The sequence below is a fragment of the Homo sapiens genome, chromosome 1 (genome assembly GCF_000001405.40).
Source record: "Homo sapiens chromosome 1, GRCh38.p14 Primary Assembly".
In the NCBI taxonomy this organism is placed as follows: domain Eukaryota; kingdom Metazoa; phylum Chordata; class Mammalia; order Primates; family Hominidae; genus Homo; species Homo sapiens.
This window is the reverse complement of record NC_000001.11, coordinates 223,131,310-223,156,415: the sequence shown is the minus strand read 5'-3', so window position 1 is coordinate 223,156,415 and position 25,106 is coordinate 223,131,310. Positions and strand designations below refer to the sequence as shown.

General features: G+C 45.8%; 1 protein-coding gene and 1 long non-coding RNA gene across 14 annotated transcripts in view, besides 1 other annotated feature; one reads left to right on the top strand and one right to left on the bottom strand.

Annotated features, from left to right (window-relative positions):
- Window positions 1–7,258: 7,258 nt before the first annotated feature.
- Window positions 7,259–13,061, bottom strand: LOC124904522 (uncharacterized). Of its 3 annotated transcripts, none has more exons than XR_007066895.1 (2): window positions 12,818–13,061; window positions 7,259–8,528 (listed from the first exon to the last, which is right to left on the bottom strand). It is a non-coding gene; the product is annotated as an uncharacterized LOC124904522 (long non-coding RNA). The 3 variants fall into 3 exon arrangements; XR_007066893.1 differs by lacking the exon at window positions 12,818–13,061 and adding an exon at window positions 12,173–12,334; XR_007066894.1 differs by lacking the exons at window positions 7,259–8,528; window positions 12,818–13,061 and adding exons at window positions 10,783–11,879; window positions 12,173–12,325.
- Window positions 13,010–13,379: a silencer, noted in NCBI's record as "silent region_1840". NCBI's record gives its function as "represses an Ori minimal core promoter by ATAC-STARR-seq in GM12878 lymphoblastoid cells {active_cell/tissue: GM12878}" and the evidence as "EXISTENCE:reporter gene assay evidence [ECO:0000049][PMID:35858748]".
- TLR5 (toll like receptor 5) overlaps window positions 13,168–25,106 on the top strand; it is a 33,845-nt gene continuing 21,906 nt past the window's right edge. Inside the window, exons 1-6 of one of the 11 annotated variants that reach the window (NM_001437650.1) lie at window positions 13,168–13,220; window positions 14,653–14,768; window positions 19,153–19,238; window positions 21,552–21,734; window positions 21,934–22,027; window positions 23,777–23,941. The gene's annotated coding sequence lies outside the window, so the exon portion shown is untranslated. Of the gene's footprint in view, window positions 13,756–14,652; window positions 14,769–19,152; window positions 19,239–21,551; window positions 21,735–21,933; window positions 23,942–25,106 lie in introns of all 11 variants that reach the window. The other 10 variants (NM_001437539.1, XM_011509937.3, NM_003268.6 and 7 more) reach the window with 10 other exon arrangements.

The following is a 25,106-nucleotide window of genomic DNA, read 5'->3' as shown; positions in this document are numbered from 1 at the left end:
GAGAATTACTGAGCTCAGGATCCTTTTTTTTTTTTTTTGGTCTTCCGTTAATGGGCCACATAATAATAAGGAACTTGAATGGTGATTTTTGTACATCTTGAGTGGTATAAAATTTTTGTTTGTGTTTTTTTATTTTTATTTATTTATTTATTTGAGACAGAGTCTTGCTCTGTTGCCAGGCTGGAGTGCAGCGGCATAATCTCGGCTCACTGCAACCTCCACTTCCCAGATTTAGGTGATCCTCCCACCTCAGTCTCTCAAGTAGCTGGGACTACAGGCCAGCGCGAACACGCCTGGCTAATTTTTGTATTTTTTGTAGAGATTGGGTTTTGCCATGTTGCCCAGGCTGTTCTCAAACTCCTGAGCTCAAGTGATTCACCCACCTCGGCCTCCCAAGGTGTTGGGATTATAGGAATGAGCCACCGTGCCTGGCCTGTTTTTGATTTTTAAAAAGCAATAAAATGCCAAGAAGCAATTATGATGTCATTAGCCTCTGTTAATATAATCTTCCATCTAAGACATGTGTACATTGTTATATTAATTATTCCTTTTTTGGTTTTTTTGAGATGGAGTTTTGCTCTTGTCACCAGGCTGCAGTGCAATGGCGTGATCTCTGCTCACTGTAACCTCCACCTCCCAGGTTCAAATAATTCTCTTGCCTCAGCCTCCGGAGTAGCTGGGATTACAGGCACCCACCACCATGCCCGGCTAATTTTTTTGTATATTTAGTAGAGAGAGGGTTTCACCACGTTGGCCAGGCTGGTCTTGAACTCCCGACCTCCAGTGATCTGCCTGCCTCAGCCTGTGAAACTGCTGGGATTACAGGCATAAGCCACTGCGCCTGGCCTGTTAATTATTCTTTAAAAAGAATATATGTTATGTGATCTTGACTATGTAATTTATACATACACATACTAAGGCCTGTATGTTAATAAAGGGAGCTTGAGAAAGTGAGACAAGCATGAATCTTATTTTCCAAGCAGCAGAAATCCTCTCTCAGGAAATATTTCCTCTTGCTAGACGTTTATCTTGATGAGCCTTAGGGTGAATGGTGACGGTGCAATTGGTAGTTGTGATTTTTCCAGCCATGTGGCTTTTGTTTTGCTGACTGGGGGATACAACATGAGGTGGCAGTTGAATTGCCCCAAAGCATAGAAAGAATTGGGGATGCAAAAAAGGAGAGTAATATTACTATAGCTAATACCCCTTATGTGCCAGACACTGCTCTAAGCATTGTTTAAGTACTAACAATTCTGCAAGGTAGGTGCCATTATTATCCCCACTTGACAAATGAGGAAACAGAGACACAGAGAAGTTAAGTCGCTCATCCAAAGTTTGACAGCTAGTAAGTAGCAGAACTTGGTGATCAAACCAAGAAATTCCGGAACATGAATCTGTGCTCACAGCCATCACTATACTCCCCACTCCACCTCACTGCCCAGGAAGGAGAGCTAGGGGTAAAAGAGTGAGGAGAATGTGGAAAAGTTTCTGATGGATAGGATGTGATGTGGATTCTCTTTCATGTCTTGCAATAAGATCTTTTATAAAATATTCAGATGTCCTTCATGTGTTGTAAAGTTGAATTTGTTTTGTGGGTTACAGTGAAATGCCAAGTATGGGGCGTGTGTGTGTGTACGTGTGTGTGTGTGTGTGTGTACAAACAGAATGTAAGAATGCAGTTGAATCTGTGTAATTTTTTTCTCCTTTGCATTTTCATTTTCTGTAATATTCTATGGCTGAATGTATACTTTTACAATCAGAAAAAAATTATTTCTTAAAAATAAATGTATTGAATTTTATATTTGCCATATGATGAGTGCATTTAAAATGTTCATAGCAAATAGCCTGGAACAAAACTCATAAAAATGTAAGCAATGGTTATAACTAGATGGAAAAACTAGGGGCGATTTCTTTCTTTCCTTTCTTTACTAAATTTTCTAATCTTTTTGCAATGACCAGATGCCAATTTTGAAATGAAAAAAATACATAATTTTAAATAAAATCGAGAAGAATAATTTTAGATGCAATGAGCAATGGGACATTATCAAAGTGAAGTGGCATGAAGACAGTGGGTTTTAGAAAACTTTCTCTAATGGTACCAGAGTTGACCAGAACAAGGCGAGAAGCCAATAATTGAGATACTAAAGGTCCCGCCCTTCCAGCCTTGTCAGCTTTCCAGCCACAACAAGATATCCACGGCTTATTAATATATTCAACAAATGATTATTGAACAACAACCCTGGGCCAACAATGGGCCAGGCACAACAAACAAGAAAGAGTTTAGATTGAGTAGGGAAGATAAGCACTAAACAAGTAAACCAATGACTACACAGCTAATTTCAGATGATGGTACAGGATGTGAAGGGGAATAAATACCACACTGACCAGAAAATAGGTATGGGGGGCTGGTGAAGGAAGGTTTTGCTTTAGATAAGGGGCACAGGGAATTAAGGTTTTAGCTGAAGCCTGAAGGATAAGAAGGAGCTGTCCAGGCATTCCAGGCAGTAGGCACTGCAGGCACACATGCTGGGAAGAGGAACAGAAGGGACAAGGGGGTATGGGAATTGAGCAGGAGCCAGTCACATATGGTCTTGCAGGCCATGCAAAGGAATCCTTATTGTATTCCAAGCACAAGTAGAAGCCATTGGGAGGTTTTATTAATGGAATGACACAATCTGAATTGTGCTTTAAAAGTCACTCTGACTGCTCGTGGAGAATGAGTTGAAGAGGAAGAAGAGAAGTTCTGCAGAGACCAGTTAGGAGGTCAGCATGATTGCTGGTAAGAGATGATGAGGCTTGACTATAGCGGGGTCTGGAAAAGGTGACTCAGCTTCCTGTCTTTCAAAAAACTGCACAGTAGTTACCTCCTGCTTGAGGCTTTTCCTGACCCTTCCCAGGGGGCTTTGTGACTCCAGGGATCACTTCCTGTTGCAACTGTAGCACTGTATAGCACTCACTGTGTGCATATCCATCTCATCCTTATAAAAGGTAAGGCTCCTTAAAATTCTAACTGGTGCCTAGCACAGCAGCTGGCCCGTAGCAATAAGCAACAACTAGGGTATTGAGTGCCTATAACCTGCCAGACTCCCACTAAGCAATTTACATACTGTGATGGTTCATTTTAGGTATCAACTTAACTGGGTTAAGGGATACCCAGATAGCTGGCAAAGCATTATTTCTGGCTGTGTCTGTGGGGGTGTTTCTGGAGGAGATTGGCATTTGAATCAGTGGGCTGAGTGAGGAAGATCTGCCCTCACCCAGTGTGGCCAGGCACCAGCCAATCCATTGAGGGCCTGGACAGAACAAAAAGGCAGAGGAAGGCAAATTCTTGCTTTCTCTCTTCTGGAGCTGGGACTCCTTTCTTCTCCTGCCCTTGGACATCAGGCTCCACGAATTGCACCAACAGCCCTCCACGTTCTCAGGCCTTTGGCCTGAGACTGAGAGTTAGACTGTTGCCTCCCCAGGTTCTCAGCTCTTTGGGCTTCTCTGGGGCTCCAGCTTGCAGACAGCATATTGTGGGGACTTCTCAGCCTCCATAATTATGTGAGGCAGTTCCCCAATAAATTCTCTCTCATCTGTATAACTATCTATCTCTCCGTTTATCCTATTGTTTCTGTTTCTCTGGAGAACGCTGACTAATACACATTTATTGCATTATTTTAATCCTGTTAACAGCCTGATAAGGTAGGTATTTGTATTAGGCCATTCTTGCATTGCTATCAAGAAATACCTGAGGCTGTGTAATTTATAAAGAAAAGAAGTTTAATTGGCTCACAGTTCTGCAAGCCATACAGGAAGCATGGTACCGGCCTTTGCTCCATTTCCCGATAAGTTGCTCATTTCCATCTGAGACCTCAGCAGCCTGGACTTCCCTGTCCTTATCACTATCAGCATTTTGGTCACAACCATTTAACCAGTTTCTAGTTTCTAAGAAGTTCCAAACTTTTCCTCATCTCTCTTCTTCTGAGCCCTCCAAATTCTTCGAATCTTTGCCTGTTACCCAATTCCAAAGTGGCTTCCACATTTTTGGGTATTTTTATAGCAATGCCCCACTCTTTAGTACCAATTTTCTGTATTAGGCCAAAGAAATACTTGAGACTGGGTAACTTATAGAGAAAAGGTTTAATTGGCTCCCACTTCTGCAAGCTGTACAAACATAGCCCCAGCATCTGCTCAGCTCCTGGGGAAAGCCTCCGAGAGCTTTTACTCATGGTGGAAGGTGAAGAAGGAGGAGGTTCCTCACATGGCAAAAGCAGGAGGAAGAGCGAGAGTAGAGAGGGAGGTGCCACACTTGACAACAACCAGATCTCAAGAGAACTCACTCACTATCATGAGGACAGCATCACACCATGACAGATCAGCTCCCGTGACAAAAACACCTTTCACCAGGCCCCACCTCCAGATTTGTGGATTACAATTCAGCATGAGATTTGGGTGGAGACAAATATCCAAACCATATAAGTATTATTCTTTCCACTTTACAGATCAAAAACTGAGGTTTAGAGAAAATGAAAAATTCATGAACGTCACACAGATAGGAAGTAAAAGAGCATGGGCTTTGAATGCAGGTCTAGCAGGCTCTCAAGCTCAGGTCACTATTGAGCAGGGCATCAATAAACAGGTGTCAAGTGAACAAATGAAGAGATGAGGACCTGGACTAGGACACAGTGGATGAAACTAGAGATAAAGAACTGGCTACAAGAGAAAGCTCAAAGGAAAGTCTGGATAAACCTTTGTGTCTATTAACTGTGGGCAGTGAGCAGTCATCCAAGACAGCCTCAACATGGCCCCACCTTAAGACTGGAAGCACACAGGGACCTCCAGGACATGGAAGTGGGTGGGGGAGCTAATTTCAGAGAGAAAATGATATTTCTGGATCTCCTGAAGAGCTGTGATAAAAAGGTCAGGAAGAAAGGGAGAAGACAGCTTTGAGGAGATGGCCACCCACTGGGTCAAACTGTTTCCAGGTCAAGTGGATTAAAAACAAAAACTTTTTTTTATTACAGTGTGGTTTCTGAGGAACCCAAATTGCAATACCACCTAAGGTTATTTTGAAGCTTGATTACTTAAAAGGGCATCAAGTCTGAGTGAAGTGAGGTCATGGAGCCCATTTCCACCCCACCCGTCCTCCTCATGACAGCCACAGGGAGGAGATGGCACAAAACCATGAGGCTTCTGATCATGATGGGCAGATTTCCCCCAAGACCCAGGCAACTGAAGGCTCCTGAGGCAGATGGTAGCTCATCTAATAGGGGAGCCTCCCTCCAACACGCCACCAGAACATAACTGCACTCCAATTATACGGTTTTTTTGTTCTTGGACATTGCCCTGCAGGGAGCTATGTTTTAACCTTATAAGCACCCCCTGGGGAGAGCATGAGGGTTGATAGAAAATGTGTGATGTATAGGTCTCACCAGGTCCTCTTCATGATTTTCAGAGACATGTTCCCTGACTCAAATGCAGCAACAACTTGACAGTAGATGAAAATGGAGAGAGAAGAAAACAATTCATGCTCATGGCATAAGCAGAGGAAAAGGGAAAAAGAGAATCACTCACTTTCTGATTATTGGAGTTGCCAGGCAGCACAATGAAGCTTTGCTAGTAGAAAAGTGCCTGTACCCTCTGCCATCACATGCCTCCCTTGGGACCAGAGCCCCTGGCCCGCTAGAAAATCTGAAGAATGCACAACCCTGTAATGCCATCCTGGCAGTGCTGCAGCTATGCCTGTAACTGCGATTTCAGATACGTGGTTCACAGAGGGGTGGACCTGCATCACTTCAACTGCTGGGCACTCATGAACAAAGTAGAAGGCACTCTACCTTGACGGGGGCTATGGAGGAGGAGGGGTAGGGAGAGTGGAAACAAGAATGTCCAGGAAGGACAAACAGTGGCTCACACCTAGCCTGTAATCCCAGTATTTGGGGAAGCTGAGGCGGGGAGATTGCTTGCATTCAGGAGTTGAAGACCAGCCTGGGCAACATAGGGAGACCTCGTCTCTACTAAAAATCAAAAAAATTAGCTGGGAGTGGTAGTGCTTGCCTGCAGTCCCAGCTACTTGGGAAGCTGAGTGAGGAGGGAGGATGGCTTGAGACCCTATCTAAAAAAAAAAAAAAATATATATATATATATATATATATATATATATATATATATCTCCACCAGGAAGAAGCAGCCAGCTCAGTTTCTGGGAAATGAAAAGCTTTGCTTTGGCAAAAAGAGAAAGGAAATTTTTTAAAAAGGAGAGAAAAAAGGGTGGAGAAAGGGAAAGCAGAAGGAAGAGAAGAAGGAAGCAATTGACATCCAACAGGGGATATTTCCACAACAACAGAAGGTTGAAATCTAGCCCTGAACAAAATGGACATCAATTCACCTAAGTGGAGTGTGAGCAAAGCCAAGTAGCTATTTCTTTCCTGACCTAGGGTATTGGCCAAAGGATTCTTCTGAGATTCAGTTATAAAACAGGAATTACACTGCTTTTGTCATATCCCTGAGTCCTCCAACTGTTTCATGCTGTCAAGTAATTGACAGTCCTGAGGAGCTCCAAAATAACCATGCCAAGAGGCTATTAGAAACATTCACTCCTCAGATCTGAGGCCAGCGGTAGACAAGGCCATCCTAGCTGTCCTCTCTATGGGTTCCTTTTCCGTGGAATGCAGCCAACTGGCCCTGGAGAGGGGACAACCAGAGTCACCCATAGTTTCTTCCAGGGCTTTCAAATTACATGACACATCAGTGGCACCACAGAACCCCAGAAGCCTGAAGCTGCCACAGAGAATGTCCACTCCCTACATCCCCAAAGCATGGTTCCCATGGGCATGATGAAGAACCAGGAGTCTTCGCCCTTCTTTGGGTCACTCTTTTGTTCCACACTTATTAAGCATTCATCATGTGTCATACCCAGAGCCAGGGATGTAAAGAAAACTCTGGAAAGAGCTCTGCTTTCTTGGAGCTCACAGCCTGGCAGGGGCAGTGAACAGGATCGAATTTAGATTCAAGGTGAAAAGTATAGCCAATGACATGAATGAGGTGCTACGGCAGCACAGGGTGGAAGTCGAGATTGATTTGAGCCAAATGTGCCAGGTAACAAAGTCAAGGAGGCTTTATTAAATCCAGGCAGGAGGTCAACTGGGTAGGGAAAGTATGTCATAATCCTATTTTAAAGACTTCACATGATCTCTATCACCTACTCTGCCCTTAGGTCATTGATGACCTGCTATATTTATTTTCTTCTATTGCATAACAAAATACAAGAAATTTATTGACATAAAACATTAGCCTTTTATTATCTCACAGTTACAAGGAGTCAGGAATCCAGGCATAGTGTGGCTGGGGTCTCTGCTCAGAGTCTTACAGACTGAAATCCGGGTGTTTGCTGGGCTGAATTCCTTCTGGAGCTTGGGGTTGTGGGCAGAAACCAGTTCCTTGTAGCTGTAGAAATGACATCCTATTTTGTCTTTGCTGGTTGGTGAGAGTCACTCTTAGCCTTTGAAGGGGGCCATGCGGCTAGGACCTGAGGTAAGTAGTTCATAACAAGGCCATTTGCTTCTTTGGGGCCAGCTGTGAATTACTAGACAGTCTGCTCAGATGGAGTCTCATATAACAGCACCTAATCAAGGGAGCAGTGATCCCATTATAGTCACAGATCCCACCCACAAAAATGGAGAGGGGTGCCAAAGATGGGAATCTCGAGGGCCATCTCAGAATCAGGTCTGCAAACCTGCAACTTGTCGCATCCAGTCGGGAAACTTCACTTCTTTTGGTATTTGACTCTAGAACAGTTGGCACCATTGGCCACTCCCACCTTGAAATTCATTCAATGACTCCTATTTATTTATTATTTTTATTTTTTATTTTTGGCTCTCACTATGTTGCCCAGGATGGAGTGAAGTGGCTATTTCTAGGTGTGATCATTGCACACTACAATCTTGAGCTCCTGGGCTCAAGCATGGGACACTGAGCCCAGCCCAGCTTATCCATTCTACTTTTGATGACCATTTGAGGGATCTCTAGTTTGGTGATTTGTATTAGTTATCTTGCTGTGTGACAAATCATGCCAAAACACAGTGGATTAAAACACCATGTATTATGTGACAGTTTCTGTAGATTGAGACTCCAGGCATGGACTCTTGGCTAGGTCCTCTGGCTCTGGTCTCTCACAAGACTGTAATCAAGGTGTTAGCTGGGGCTATGGTCTCATCTTAAGGCTTGAGCTGGGGATGATTCGATGCTGAATTCGCTTAAGTGGTTGTTGGCAAGAACCATTTTATCACAGGCTGTTAGACTGATGGCTTCAGTTCCTCACCAGCTGTTGGCAAGAGGCTTCCCTTGAGTCCTTGCCATATGGGTCCTTCCATAGGGCAGCTGACAATATGACAGCCAGCTTCATGAGAGCAAGCACGCAAGAGGGCCAGAGAGAGAGTGTGAGCAAGGCAGAAGTCACATCCTTTTGTAATCTAATCTCAGAAGTGATATCCCATCAATTTTGTCATGCTCTATTTGTTAGAAGAAGTTGCTGGGTCCAGTTCACACTTAAGGAGAGAAGATTACAGAAAGGCATGAATATCAGGAGGCAGAAATCTTAGGGAGCCATCATAGAAGCTGTCTAGTACAAAGGATATAACAAACAATGCTGCCTTACAGATTTTCGTATATATATTGTGGCATATGAGCATATCAGGTTATGCACCTAGGCATGGAGTTCCTAGGTCTTAGGGCATGTGAATCTTCAAGTTTCCATGACAGTGCCAAACTTCTACCAAGTGGTTATACCAATTCACATTTCCACTAGCAACAAGTGAGAATTCTGTTTGCACCATATCGTCACCAACACTTTTTATTGTCAGACATTTTATTTTTGGCCAATATGATTTATATAATATGTGATGTATTATAGCTTTAATTTGCATTTCTAAGATTTCTAATGAGGTTTGGTACTTTTTCATTTATTTATTGGTCATCTTATATTTCCTCTTTTATGAAGTATCTGCCTGTATCTTTTGTCCATTTTTCTACTGACTTTTCTTACTGATTTGTATGAGTTCTGAAGATAATCTGGATGCTTGGGCTGTGGCAGTTATATGTGTTGCAAGCATCTCTCTGGTTTTGTTTCCTATCTTTTTATTCTTTTAAATATGTCTTTTGATGAACACAAGGTCTTCATTTTAAGGCAGTTGAATTTATCAATCTTTTCCTTTATGAACTCTTGGACTAAGCCTGTCTTCTAGCTATTGTTTTCCGCCTATGTCTCCAACTGTCCCCCCATCTTTGATCCCCCCATTGTCTCCATATAAACATCTTTTCTATGCTCTGGACACATGACTTCAACTGCTCACTCGATGGCTCCACCTCCATATCCCACAGTCAGTCCAACACCAGTTTATCCCAAAATGAACTCATCCCTCCAAGTTCACCTTCCGCCACCCTACCACCCCTAGCTTGTATTTCCTAACTCCATGACTGACACAACTATCCACCAATCACAAAGCCAGTGTCTTGTGAATTTGCCCTGACTGCTCTTTCTCTTATAAGGATCCAGTTTTTCTGATTCTACAATCTAAACCTTGCCCCACTCTGTCTTCTCCTCTACATCTCCAGTGCCAGAATGTAAGTTCCATGAGACCAGGGACCTTGTCCAGCTTGTTCATTACCACAATATCAGTAAGGGATGGTGCTTAACAGCATGAATTTTGCAGCCCAATTACCTGATTCAAATCCTGACTCCATCAATTATTAGGTATCTAAGTAAGTGGAAGTTATATGACCTCTTCTCCCGCAGTTTCCCCATTGGTAAAATGGGGGATGATAATAGTACTGATTCATAGGGTTGTGGTGAGGGTTGAATCAGTTAATGCATGTATAGTATTTAGAAAAGAACAGGACACATGGTAAGCACTCAATAAATATTGACTATTAATATTATACCCTACCACCTAGCATGGGATGGGGTATAATATTATGCATCAAAATATATTTTAAGCATCAACAAATATTTATCATCAAAAAACTAACCATCAAATAATATATATCAACAGAGATGAATGAATGCCACTGCTTTAATTTAGACTCTTATTATCGTTGCTTAGACAATTGCTGTAGCCTCCTAACTGGGCTTACTTTCTGCTAACCATCCCATCCCCCATTCCATTCATTTTACACACTGCCATTAGGGTTATAACTTCTTGTCTATAAATATGAAGGTGTGGTGCCACTCCATTGCTTAACACCATCCAGTGGATCCCCAAGCCCTACAGGGAGGCAGAGCATAGCCCAGACTCCTCAGCAGAACACATGTGCATGAACGTGGGATCTGGTGATTGCCTACCTACCTCTTCAACCGCCTCCATCCTTCACACAACCTGCGCTCCATTTACCAAACCACTGGCAGTTCCCCAAATGAGCCACATTCCTTCATTCGTCTCCTGCCCAGAATGCCCTCCCTCTGTCCCGTCCAGGTGACAAAGTCATCTTTTTCTTTTTCACCAAGTCCCAGATATAGGCACTCCCAGGCAGAGTTAGATACCTATATTATTGCAGCATTTATCAAATTACACTATAACCATTTATTTACATGTCCAACCCTACTCCCCCAGGCTGCAAGCTCCTGAGAGCCAGATCGTATTTAGATTTGTATTTCTGGCAAGAAGCACAAGGGCTACGGAAGCTTAATACACATTTGTTGAATGGATGGTTAGTTTTAAGAAGTACCTAATAAACCTTGGTATTTGTATTTCCTTGAATCTTGTTTTGGTTGCTACCTTTTTTAATGGAAATAGTCACTACTGCTTATGTTTACAAGTTTATTGAGTTCTAATTTTATCTTTTAAGATAAAGATTGCTGATATCATTCATTCACTCATTCATTCATCAATAAATATTTATAGGGAGACACTTGTCAGATACTGGATTTGAAGTGAACAAATCAGACATGGCCCCTACCCTCGTGAGGCTTACAGTCTATTAAATCTATTAAGTATGAAGGACAGGCTGACCTTGAACCAATAAACATGTCCATGTAAAATCATAAATTGAAATGAGAGTTGTGAAGGAAAAGAATAGGTTATAAAGAGGAAGAATAATGGGAGGGACCTAATTTAATTAGAAGAGTTAGGGAAGTTCTCTTTGAAGAAGTTACATTACAGGGAACACTAAAATGTGGGTAGGAGTGAGCTACGCAAAGTCATGGAGAAAGAGTATTCCAGGTAGAAGAAATAGCATGCGTGAAGACCTTAAGCAAGTGGAAGGCAGCTGCTGAGGCTGGGGACTGGGAGGTTGGGGCTGGAAGCAGACAAGCCTAGAGAAGTTGTCAGGGGCTAGACGATGGGGTTTTGACCTAGAATATAAACTTTGTTTGTAGTTCATAGGGAAGACATTGAAGGTTTAATATATGGGAATGACGGGAACCTCTGGCAGGGCTCTGCCTGTGAGCATCACATAGCACCCCGAGGATGTGTTTGCTACTCTAGGTTTCAGTGGAGAAAAAAGCAAGTGACAACCCTTCTGTTCCTGCTCAGCAAAAGCTTTGATCACCAGCCCCCTTCCCCTGAATATACTGGAGAAAAATAACAGAAGTGCATTTCAAGGTCCACATGTGAGAAGACCCTAAGCTGTCCTGGCTGTTCAGGTAGAAGTTGTCATCTTCCTCAATGATCTCGGCTGTTGGAAGACATGGCCAGGCAGACAGAATCTAAAAGTTCTTCCAGGTGTGACATGAGTCCCTGGAGCTCAGTGACAGAAACCAGTGTCCAAAACCAGATGCCACCCTGGGGAGGGGGCTTTGGGAGTTCCTGGGAGGCCATAACACCGTCTGGAAGGCTCCTCTCTCCCACATATTCACAAAGTTGCATGATAAGCCAGGCCCCTGCTGGTCTTGCAGCATCCACCTATGATGCAGAGTAAACAGTGCCACACGTCAAGCTGTCCCCAACCTTGCCCTCGGTTCCACTACCAAAAGAGGGAACACTGGGCTTGCCCCAGCAAGGTGTTATTTATGTCAGGCTAGGGCCACTGTGGCTCCCAGCTCTTACTGCTTTCTAGGTGCCCTTACAGACTTCCCCACTGCCCCCTGCATATGCCAGAGTGTGAACATCCCCTCCCTCTCCACAGCCCCCACAGTGGGGTTCGGGTGGGCAGGGAGGTGGTTTCATCCCTCTACATACAGCCCTTGGAGACCTACCTAGGCAATTTGTCACTCAGGCTTCAAGCTGCCAGCCGAGGAGGGGAGCTGAGAAGACTCTATAATGAGATCTTTGCACTGTAATTAAGTGCCAGGCTTTGTTTTACACCTATCTTTCCCGCCTTGCCCGATCCCACCGCCAAGCTCCTCCAGGCAGTGAGTGGGGAGTGTCAGCTGCTCTGTGATTACACCCCAAGTGGCAGGTGGCAGGGAGCTCCTCCGCCTGCAGTCTGCGCCCCACCCCCAGGCTTCCCCCACCACCAGTCTTAACTCAAGACAGTGCTATTTCTGTCCTTGAACTGGGTTTCACCCCAGAAAGCCACTCCACCGCTTTCTCATAAGGCTACCTCCTTTTAACCCTGTGGTTGCACGGCCTCTGGGGTGTCCATTTCTTTCTTTTGACACGTCCCTTTTCCTGAAAGTTTCAGCAAACCCCATAGGCAGAGGGAGTTAGAAAAAGGAAAAGAGAAGTTAGGGCAGGAGGAGCACTGTTCTTATAGGACAGGAAGGGTCTGTCTTCTCTCTTGGGTCCTCCACACAAAATCGGAGCTTCCAAACACCCCAGCTCCCAAACATATGCAGCAGATTCTGCTGACAGGAATGTGTCACTGTGATCTTCACATTTTAGCCTGAAGTTTAGCCTACCTGAAGAAGCACCGGAGTGGGAGTGGGAGAACATGGGATGGTGCTTCTCTTTGGCCTGGCTGTGCTTTTGGACACTTCAGGTCTTCGGCCTGGGTTTCCTCCTCCGTACGATGAGGAGAGGATGGGAGGGGGCAATGCTGGCATGTGTGATCTCGATAGACACTGTGGAAGTCTGCAGAGACCGGAGCATAACCTCTGCCTCCTCTCCCCGGGCCTAGCCTCTCACAGCCCTCAGAGAAAACCCTGAGCTGCGGCGTGGCCGAGACGGGGGCGTGGCCTGGCAGGTGGGCGGGCCCTTCCGTGGGCGGGGCCGCGAGGTTTTCAGGAGCCCGAGCGAGGGCGCCGCTTTTGCGTCCGGGAGGAGCCAACCGTGGCGCAGGCGGCGCGGGGAGGCGTCCCAGAGGTGAGCGCCCTGCAGCGGCAGGGGATGGGCCGGGGGCCCTAAGTCGTAGGCAGCGCGGGGCGGGGACGCGGCTGCCTGCGGAGGTCGGACTCCTCTCCGCCCTCCTCCCGGGCTGTCCGGGTCTATTTTCCAGTCTATGTCCAACTCGCGCCGCCTCACTAGGCGGCGCTCTCTGCCCCGCGGCACCCGCGAGACGTGGGGTCCCTCGGCCCAGGGACGGGGTGAGCGTGTCATGTGGGTGCCCTGTGCCCGGCAGGTTGGAGACGAAGAGACCTCGGCACAGACGAAGTCACTCACATCCTCGCTTTGAAACAGAGCGGGTCCTTCTTGTGCTGTCTCGCTGTCACTCTCGCCCCCACCCTGTGGAAGAGGCAGGTGGCTTGTCCCCAGTCACTTTCTTCCTTGGAAAAGGGAGACAGAGGGCCATCTCCAGCAGGGCCATGGAAATCCCAGAAAGTCACTGAGCTGCTCAACAAAAGGCCCTAAACACCCCACCCCACAGCACCAGGCAGTGCACACTGGCCAAGACTCCGTGGTAAATATTGCTGGCCTTTATGTTGAGAGGGGGAAAAAAAAGCCTGCCTGTGAAGATCATTGCCCAGTGGCCATGCTCCTGTGAAAACACAATTGGAAAGCCATTTCCTAAGGGGCGAGGGTGGGTCTGGGACCATGCTGTGGCTTGGGTGATTGGTGGTTGCAGGAGTGAGGGTGCTGCCCTGGGAAGGCGCTGAGGCCCTGTTGGGTGGGAATCGACGGCTGCGGCTTTCTCCCGGAGGAGGGAGAGCGGTGTTGTTACCTAGTGTTGGGAACACATCCGTCCAGCACCGTGAACTGCAAACAAGCAGAGTAACCCTAGTGTCCTTCAGATACTGTTGCTGAGCAGTCACCTAGTCAATGAGATGATCTGTTTGGACGGCAAGTGCATCTGTAATGCCGCCCTCTTGCTCAGTGCCTGGAAGAGGCATTGGTGACTCCCCGCTAATGCTAGGGGTAGCTACCGTGCAGGAGCAGTCAGGCTCTTGCAGGGCCAATGTGGTTTCATCAATTTTCTCCTGCATTTACCCAGCCCCTCCGAATTCTGAGAAGTGCGTCCAAGATCTCTTGGACTCCTTGACTCAGTTCACCCTTGTTCTTGTGGGCAGAAAACAATTCCCAGTGTGCCATGCACAGCCAGTCAGAAGGGAAGCCCTGGAGCAGGGCCCTGGGAGAAGTTCTGTGGGGCTGGATGCTAATTATTCAGTTACTGGATTGTGGGGAAATTCCAGGGGAGGTCCCAGAGGAGAGACCGTGCTAAAGCTAATTACTAAGCAGTACAAAAATAATCTCTCTCTCTCTCTTTCTCTCTCTCTCTCTCTCTCTCTCTCTCTCTCTCTATATATATATATATATATATATATATATATATATATATGTAATTTTTTTTTTGAGACAGTCTCACTCTGCCGCCCAGGCTGGACTGCAGTGACACAATCTCGGCTGACTGCAACCACTGCCTCCAGGGTTCAAGCGATTCTCTTGCCTCAGCCTCCCAAGTAGCTGGGATTACAGGTACCCACCACTACGCCTGTCTAATTTTTGTATTTTTAGTAGAAATGGGGTTTCACCATGTTGGTCGGGCTGATCTCAAACTCCTGACCTCAGGTGATCCGCCTGTCTTGGCCTCCCACAGTGCTGGCATTACAGGTGTGAGCCACTGTGCTGGGCCAAAAATAATCTAAATTTCAACAATCAGCATGACCATGCCTGTGCGTATGACCCTAATTATCAGTCTGACTGATTCTTCCTTCCAAAATGATGGCAGAGGATCACCTCTTTGGATATTTACAGCTCTGAGCAAAGCAAAAAGCATGTAGGTGCCATTGTCTGAATGCAAAACCAGCCATGCCAGGTTTTCGGTGTTGTTTCTGAGGAGGGAGCGCCTCTCTGGAGGACGGTGTTTCCAGAACAGTGCCTCCGTTGTTCATTCCCGTGCATCAGGAAGTTTGGCTCTGCTGAGTGTTGAAAGCAAAACTCTCCTGTTTATTTGTCTCTGTATACTAACAGACTTAAACAGCAGACAGCACTGGAATGTCCAGTTACTGCATCCAGATGTGTTTGTTTCACTCTTAACATTGTGGAAAAGAATGCAGAAGGCAGATCCAAAGCTTCAATCAGATTTCTGAAGCTTAAGTGATTCCCAGCCTTGGTCCCTTAATGTGAGAGCAACAGCGTATAGTGTCTTCCGCTCTCTGGGACAAACCCAAGTTTGAGGCATAGTCCCTGCTGTCCAAAAGCTCCTAGGTCTAAGTAGGAAGACAAAACCAGCACCTGTGAAACAATTAGAGCGCAATTAAGTGCGAAAGTATGTGGCAGCATCTGCTAGCTCAAAGAAGACAGCTAGTGCAGACTGACTGGGAAAGGAAGAGAGAGCTTCACAGAGCCAGCTGGTGTTCAGCTTGACTTAAGAATGACCATCAAGGGCTTGGCCAGGCCTAGGAAAGGAAGCATGAGGATATATGAAGCTCAGAATAATGAAAGGCACTTGCTGCCCAGAGCCAATTCAAATTCCTGCCTTCCGGGAATTCTGGCTGTGGGTCCTGCCACTCTCTTCCTCACCCAGCCATGATGCCCTTCTTATAGCATTCTAACCATGCCTTTTTTTTTTTTTTTGAGACAGAGTCTCACTCTGTCACCTAGGCTGGAGTGCATTTGTGTGATCTTGGCTCACTGCAACCTCTGCCTCCTGGGTTTAAGTAATTCTCCTGCCTCAGCCTCCCAAGTAGCTGAGACTACAGTCACGTACCACCATGCTCAGCTAATTTTTGTATTTTTAGCAGAGATGGGATTTCACCATGTTGGCCAGGCTGGTCTCGAACTCCTGACCTCAGGTGATCCACCTGCCTTGGCCTCCCAAAGTGCTAGGATTACAGGCGTGAGCCACCACACCCAGCCTGACCATGCGTTTTTTGTGTGCCTCCTTTACTTTATGCCTACTCTCCTATGCTCAAAATGCTCTGCTGACCAATCCCCTACATTTTTTAAGAAGCAGCTCAAATGGCACCTTCTCCAGTGAAGACTTCCCTGGCAGGCCCCTACCCGAGTGTTTGAGCAGAGTTGGAGGGTTTCTCCTTTGTTCTCCATTGGTCCTTGCATAGACCTCTGTTGAAGCTCCGTATTGTCCATAGGAGTTAAGGGATCTTTGACTCACTCACTGAAGCAGAGCTGTGTCTCACTTACATAGGGCTCCCCTGAGCCGAATTTGGTGTCTGGCACATAAGAGGCGTTTGATAAATGATTCTTGATTGAAATTCAAGCCCTTATAGGTAACAGTGAAGTGCCCCACCAACTTGGAGTAGAAGGCACAGGTTATGTGTTACAAGGAGTCTCAGATTGGATAAATTAGATGGAGCCAATTCCTAGAGGCCTTGAGGAGTCTGAGTGTAATGCAGTGGTGGTGCTCAAAACTCAGAGCACCCCCTATTGCCTTCACTATAGAATTCTAGAGTCTTCTTGATCTGCCCCCAGCATATCCTCTTTAGCCTCATCTTCCACCAGCTCCCACCTTGAGCCCACAAATCTACCTTCTGAGCCACTGCAGCCCCAGGTAGCTCCCCAGGCCTAGGCTCTCTCTTCTCCTTTGTCCATGCTGTTTGGCAGCCTTGGCCAGGAATGCCTACTGCTCTCCCTAGCTAATTCCTGATCATTAATACTCCAGATCTGAATCCCCTATGTGCAGAGGCCCCTCAGGCTGGGTTTTCAAATTCTCCTCTGTGCTCCATAGCACCCTGCACAGCCTCTAACAGCATTTATCACACCCTCTTATGGCTGCTGGTTACTTGGCCATCTCCCTGCTGGGATGGCTCCCTGAAGGCAGTGATTGAGTTAATCCTTGATGTATCCCCCATCAGCTAACATTGTTCCTAGGAGATGGTGTCCAATAAGCATTGGATGGTAGGCTGAACCAGAGTGATAAAAATATCAAACGAAGGACAAATCTAGAGACATCTGGAAGGGGAAAACTAGAATTTGGTGATGAGTTATATAAAGAGAGTGTATTAGTCTGTTATCACACTGCTAATAAAGATATACCTGAGTCTGAGTAATTTATAAAGGAAAGAAGTTTAATTGACTCACAGTTCCACATGGTTGGGGAGGCCTCACAATCATTGTGGAAGGCAAGGGGGAGCAAAGTCACATCTTACATGGCGGCAGCCAAGAGAGCATGTGCAGGGGAACTCCCATTTATAAAACCATTAAATCTCGTGAGACTTATTCCTTATCACAAGAACAGCACGCAGAAGACCTGCCCCCAGGATTCAGTTACCTCCCACTGGGTTCCTCCCTCAACACGTGGGGATTATGGGAGCTACAATTCAAGATGAGATTTGGGTGGGGACACAGCCAAACCATATCAAAGAGTAAGGGACAAGGTTTTTTCAAACCTATGAGGCAGGTGGAGATGGTGTGCTGCAGGTGTAGGATTCCCTGGCCTGGGGAGAAGTCCACTTATATGTCTCTGAGTACTACGCAAAAATTTTTTTGTTTCCTGGAGGATTTTCAAAATTCAAAATATCAAGTCACTTTGAGACATATTGAGTCTGATGTTAAAAAGGAAATGTTCTAGAGTCAACTGAAACACACACTTTAAGTACAAGTGAGGTCAGGCCTAGAGAAAGATTTTGGGAGCATAGTGGCAACAGTTTAACTTGTGAAAGCAAATGTGGTCACTGATGGAAGAAGCCTGAAGCAGAGAACAAGGTCTTGGGGAAACCTAGAAGCCATGGGGGTGGGAAAAAGAAAAGTATCTGTTGGAAAATAGAATGATAGAAAGATAGGGAAAAAACTAAGGAAGCCAAAGGAAGAGATATTTCAAGAAGAAATAGGTGGCCAAAGCTGCCCAATGCTAAACAAAACAAAACAAAACAAAACAAAACCCACAAGGAGATTCATAGAAGAAAGAGGCTGGGTACAGTAGTTCATGCCTGTAATACCTTGGGAGGCCAAGGTAGGAGGATTGTTTGAAACCAATAGTTCAAGACCAGTCTGGGCAACATAGTGAGACCCCTCCACCCCCACCCCCACACACAAAAATTATCTGGGCATGGTGGCACATGCCTATAGCCCCAGCTACTCCAGAAGCTGAGGTGGGATGATCACTTGAACCCCGGAGTTCAAGGCTGCAGTGAGCTCTGATCGCACCACTTCACTCCAGTCTGGGTGATACAGTGAGACCTGGTCTCAAAAAAAAAAAAAAAAAAAAAAAAAATTTAAAAAGCCAGACCTGAGGAGGTTAAAGAGAGGCTAGTTACTGAGTTACTGGGCAATGGAAACATTGGGTGGGGTTTTTAGACTTTTTGTCTGAGGAATTTGGCCATAAAAGAAAGAAGGAAGGAGGGGTCTGCTCAAGAGAAGACTTTCTGTTTGTTTTATGGTAAGAGAGATCTGCCTCCCTTTGACCACACTAGGGAAGGAGCTCATTTATGCTAAAGGAATATGGATAAATATTCATATTGTTCACTTGGTTATATTTCATTTAAACCTTCCTCTCCTCCTTTCCTGTCCTCTGCAAGTGCCCCATAGAACTTTCCTTCTGGGGAATTGCCAAAGTCATGGTATTGCTAAATCCAGTGACAGGGTGTTGCAACACAGAAATCATTGGTTCTCACTTCACTGGCCTGTAATGAGACTCCCTCAAATGCTTCCAAACAACTTTCCTTCCTAATAGTGCTAGTCAGGCATTTTCTCTTTTACTGTGCACAAATTAATAACACAGTAAAAGCAGCAATAATAGCAAATGCATAGATAGCAGTTACTCTGAGCTACAGACTATTGTGAGTACCTTTGAGGGGTAAGTGGTGAACCAGTATTCAAGCTTAGCATATTTGTCTTCAGGGTCCATGTACTTAAACCACTATGCTAAATTCAAGATAAGTAAGTTTGTATTTTACCATAGATTGATGTTCATGTTCCTGACACTACTACAAGATTCATACTCCTGATGCTACTGACAACGTGGCTTCTCCACAGTCACCAAACCAGGTATCTCTCTGGACCCAGGTTCACTGTGGGTTGGACTAGCTTTAATAGTCAATAAGGCCAGGGACAATGGCACACGCCTGTAATTCCAGCACTTTGGGATGCTGAGGCGGGCACATCTCTTGATCCCAGGAGTTCGAGACCAGCCTGGGCAACATGGCGAGACCCACTTCTACAAAAAATAGAAAGATTAGCTGGGCATGGTAGCATGTGCCTGTAGCCCCAGCTACTTGGGAAGCTGAGGTGGGAGGATCACCTGAGCCGGGGGAGTTCAAGGTTGTGCCATGATCATGTCACTGCACTCTAGCCTGGGTGACAGAGTGAGACTCTGTCTCAAAAAAAAAAATTTAAAAAACAGTCAATAAATAATTTGATAGTCAACAAGCAATCTGCCACATGCAAAGTATTGCAAGGGACCAAAAAATATAAGCTATATGTCCCATCTCATTTACTCTTCATAACCATCCCATTTTACAGTCAGGGAAACTGTCTGGATTTGAACTCAGAAGACCATGATAAAGGCAAAATCAGAAGTCACTTTTAGTCCTGAGTTTCTGGGGTCTGAGATTCCTCCTCATCTTGGTCAGAGATATAACTGGGTTCAGATAGCTTCAAGACTACCTTTTCTTTTATTTCCCAACCTGTGAACCAAAAGGGTAGTGAGTGTGAATCTCTAGCATGCACAGATGTGCAAGAAATACTGCCTCTCCTCTATTTTCTAGATATTAATATTAGTTTAGAGCCTTCATCTCATCTGGCCAGCAACCATAGAAATCACCCCAGGTTGTGTCACTGTGTCACAATTTCAGATCTCTTATGCATTGCCAAGATCCCAGGGGCTCGGGTGCAGGTATCTCCTGCTCCCCCATCTGGTCCACTCGGGTTACCACTGAAGGCACTCTTGTGCCTGTCTTGCCTAGCAAGTCCTCACTGCTTCCAGACCACATAGCTAACTCACTGGGGTCCTGCCAGAGTCCTGTCTTCCTGGTGCTGACAGACCCCTTTTCCCTTCCTGTCTTCCTGTTTCTAGAAGCATGTCTCTCTGCTTTACCCATCAGCACACCCCACCCCTCTTCCCCCAACTTGGCAAAGACTTTGTGTCCCCAACCTAAGGCCCTGTTTGGAAAATCAAAGCCAGAAGAACTTGCAGGCTATTCCTGGTAGGGTTCTGACATATACCTGCCCTGGACCAATGACTAGGGAGCTGGCTACAGAGGTGGAGGTGAGCCTAGGAAAGCAGAAATACAAGGAGAGGGGGAAAAAAAAGTCAAATCTCAAAATATCTAGCCGCAGACATAAGCTCCTCTGAGGGTAATTTCTTGAGGGGGGAAAAAGTTGCTATTTAAAGCTAGGATATATGTGGTTCCATTTTTTTCATCGGTACATTAATAACATCATTTTCCACTATGTATCTTCAAGATCCGGTGTAACAGCCTTGCAAATTTGCCAGAATGAAGAAGGAATGTTCTGCTTCAGGGAGGATTGGCCCTGGTCTATGATTGCTGTCATGATGATACTCAGCAAGTTTCCTTAGATAACTTCAGAGTTAACAAGGATTTAAAAATGCTTCCATTTCAAACTCACCGTTATACATATGCAGAAACTGAGGACAATGAAAGTTAGAGTTGTCTAGGATACCCAGACTGTGGCTGAAGGAGGACTAGAACCGATATTTATCCTCTCCCAGCCCAGCATTTTTGCCATGGTCTCATGTATCTCGAAAGTAACCACCACTAGCAAGTTGGAGCCAAATCAACTAGCTGACTCCCTGCCCTGACTCAGAATGGAGCATAGCCACCCTGGGCAGCCTGCCCAGGCAGATTCCACATGCAGTAAACCTCCTTCGGGTCCCAGGACACTGGGCACAGGGTGGGGACCTGTGCTTCCAGCAGGGGTGCGCTCCCCAGCCTCACCTGTCCCTGCTTACAGTCCCTCAGGCAACACCAGTGAAATCATCTTCCTCTCAGGGCATCCTCATCCTGGCCTGAGTGCCCCCCACCTTTCCTTCTCAACCTCTTCAGGGCTTACCTTGCATCAGGGGGTGTCTCCAGCAGCTGCAGGGTGCATTGGATTTTATCTGCCTGGGAAGCTTTCTCTTGATTCCTTTGCTAGCCCAGCACAGACTACACATCCCTCTCAGAACAGTTCTCAAGTGTTTGATACTCTCTCTTCACATTCCCATTTCGTATCTAACTGATCAGGTTAATAGGGTTCCTAGTTGCCGGTCACCACCCCCACCCCAGCTGTTTCCAATTTACATCACACTCCAAATGATTTTTGCAGCGCTTAGCAGATTGTCTGTGTCATTACTTTCAGGGATGCTATACTGGACTTCCCTACTCTCATCTGCTCCAGCCCCCTGACCTTATAGTTGCCCAGCTTTCCTGGCAATTGACTTTGCCCATCAATACACAGGATTTAGCATCCAGGGAAGATGTCGGAGCCTCAGATGTTAATTTTCTAATTGAGAATGTTGGCGCTGTCCGAACCTGGAGACAGGTAGGGATGTTCACTTTCTGGGCGAGCCACCTTTTCCCGACGATTTTAAATGTTGTGCTAGTTGTTCGTTTTTAATAATCACTAAAAATTATTTCTTTCAATCAGATGCTTTAAAATTGTGTGCTAAAGAGTTATAATGTGCAAACAACGGGGAAGCCATTCTGTACCTAAACCATGTGTTTTCAACATAACTTTTCAGAGTATCAGCGCCTTTGCTTGCTGCTGTTTTTGCTGTTTTTTGATGCTGGGAACCACCACCTAAAGATAGTAAAGAAAACACAGGAAGCTTTCCGGTAACTCATGCTAAAGAAACACAAAATCACCCCAGTGCCTTGAGAAATTTCCTTTCCCTCTCTAACTTTCCCCTTCAGTGTTCTAAAGGGAAGGCGTTTCTGGTAAGGTGTAGTTGCGTAAATGATGGCTGCCTACTTCAGCAAGCAAGAACTGTTGGAGTATTAAGCATGGGTAACTGGATATTCTGGTTTGGGCACTGGAGGATCCCTGGAAGCCGGAAGCAGGCTGTTGCTGCCGGGGTAGGGGCGGCGGGGGTGGGAGGTAGAAACTTATTGCTGTGATTTTATAGGCAGTAAACTGATGCTTAGAGAGGTTCAGCACTCGCCCAAGCTCACACACCTACTAAACTGTGGAGCTAGGATTTGAATCCAGCTACAAATTTAGTTGTCATTGAAATGTCTAAATGCACTCTACTGCGCAAGCGATAGGAACTTCCCAGCGGAGCTCAGCTCAGGGACGCTTGCAGCTCCCCGCGCCCCGCTCGACTCTCCGGCCGCGGCTCCGCGGGCTCCTCCCCCTCGGTCCCTGCCCCTTTTGCGCCCTCTGCTGGTCTCTAGGGAAAGCGCATCTCCTGAAATCAGAAGTCGCACCCAAGCTGTCCCGTTTCCTTAGCTCCTAGTAAAGCGATATGACCCATCCATCCCCTCCTCCTCAAAGCCTCACATGAATCTTCTTTGAGGTACTCTCTGATGCTTCACTCTTCAGCGCTGAGAAAAATGGGGAGGAAGGGGAAGTGAATGTATTAGTATAGCCCCTTCTCAAAACCAATCGTGCAGCATCTTAGCCATGCCTTATCCTGGAAGAACGAGGCAGCTCACGTGGGCATGGGGGTAATGAGCAGGGAGGCAATTACAGACTCTTAGGTTCTCACCGCTAACAGTGTGGTCAGTGGACCAGCAGCAGCATCACGTGGGAGCCCGTTAGAAATGCAGACTCTCAGGTCCTTCAGCCACAGCCCTGATGAATCAGAATCACCGTTTCAAGGAGGTCTCAGGCGGGCCGTTTCAGGTTCCGAGCTCGCTTTGAGGCTCTGTGGATGTTTTGCAGCATATTCAATTTTGTTTTGTTCAAAGGTCACAGTGACAACTAAGTTTGCAGCGGGATTCAAATCCGAGCTCCACAGTGTAATAAATGTGAGATCTTAGACAAGTGCTTAACCTCTCTGAGTTAATCATCTATCAAATAATGAAAAGCACTATAAGCCAACTCTTCAACTTTCAGGACATTGTTCACCCGAAACCCGAAATCCAATAACTGTGCACTGTCTTCTAACACAGCCATAATTTACCTAGATGTACCGCTTAGAAATGTCTCACTCTCATAGTGACCTTAGTTCTATCTGTCCCTAGAGAGCCGCAAGACCATTTTGTCTGGAAGTTCTCTGCTCACTGGACAATAGGGACAGTGGAATTGTCCTCATCCTTGTGCTTGAGTCTTTGGAAACCAAATGACCCCAGAAATGTCATGAAAGAGATTTTTAGGTCCCAGAGGAACTGAATGGCTTAGACACCCACCTTCTGAACAAGAGGCTGGGCCAGAGATTTCTCAAGGTCCCAACTTCAACCTTGGTGTTCTGTCCGCCTTGATTTACAAAATGGTCTTGATCTTTTCCAATTAAAATTCCATTTAGTAGAGATACACAGAAAGTTTGCAATTCTTCCACAAGAAAACTGCTGTATGGCATAGAAAAATATCTACATAATATTTTTTGTTTCTTCTTCTTAATTAGCTTTCCTATTTTCCCTTAGGAAAACAAAAAGTCCTTTCTCCTGATTCACCAAAAAATAAAATACTGACTACCATCACTGTGATGAGATTCCTATAGTCTCAGGAACTGAAGTCTTTAAACAACCAGGGACCCTCTGCCCCTAGAATAAGAACATACTAGAAGTCCCTTCTGCTAGGACAACGAGGTAAGTGCTTCTGGTAAAAATGTGTCATAGTGTGTCTGTGTCTGTGTGTGTATGATACGTATATAAATATATGCATATTTGTACATATATATATACATATGTACAAATATACATACATATAAGGTCTCTCTGTCGCCCAGGCTGAAATAAAGCAGTGTGATCATAGCTCACTGCAGCCTCAAACTCTTAGGCTTAATGATCCTCCTGCCTCAGCCTCCCAAATAGCTCAGACTACAGGTGCACACCAGCATGCCTGGCTAATTTTTCTGTTTTTTGTAGAGACAAGGTCTCACTATGTGGCCCAGGGTGGTATAGAACTCCTGGGCTCAAGCAGTCCTCCCATCTTGGCCTCCCAAAGTGCTGGGATTACAGGCATGAGCCACCATGCCCAGTCCTGTCTTCAAAATATTAATGGAGAAAAATATTGCTGGGGTACTTAAGTTGTGCCAGGTACTACAGGGGGATCCTGCATGAATGAAACTGAGTGCCTGCCCCTCAAGACTTACAATCTAGTGGAGAAGGCATAATATAATAAAAATGCCATGATGGAAATGTACCCAGAATACCAGGGGACGGAGATAAAGAGTGCATATAGGCCAGGCATGGTGGCTCATGCCTGGAATCCCAACACTTTGGGAGGCCGAGGCAGGTGGATCGCTGGATCCCAGGAGTTCGAGACCAGTCTGGGCAACATGGTGGAACCCTGTCTCTACAAAACAAAAACAACAACAACAACAACAAAAATTAGCTGGGCATGGTGGTACAAGCCTGTAGTCCCAACTACTTGGGAAGCTGAGATGGGAGCATCACTTGAGCCCAGGAGATTGTGGCTGCAGTAAGCCCTGATTGCACCACTGCACTCTAGCCTGGGTAACAGAGCGAGATCTTGCCGCAAAACAAAAAAACAAAAACAAACTAGTGCACATAGAAGTGTGAGAAGTGCATGTAGAATTCTCATGGCAGAGGTGGCTTCTGAGGTGGCCTTTGACGGGGGAGTTGGAATGGGATGAGCAGATGAGACATTCACGAGCATTCCAAGCCCCAGGACCAGCCTAAGCTGAGAGAATGGGGATGAGGGCAGACTCTGAGAATGGCAAGTTAGATCTCGAGCACAAGGCAGTGATGGGATGCCAGTGTAGATACAGCCAGGAAGGCAGGGTGGCTG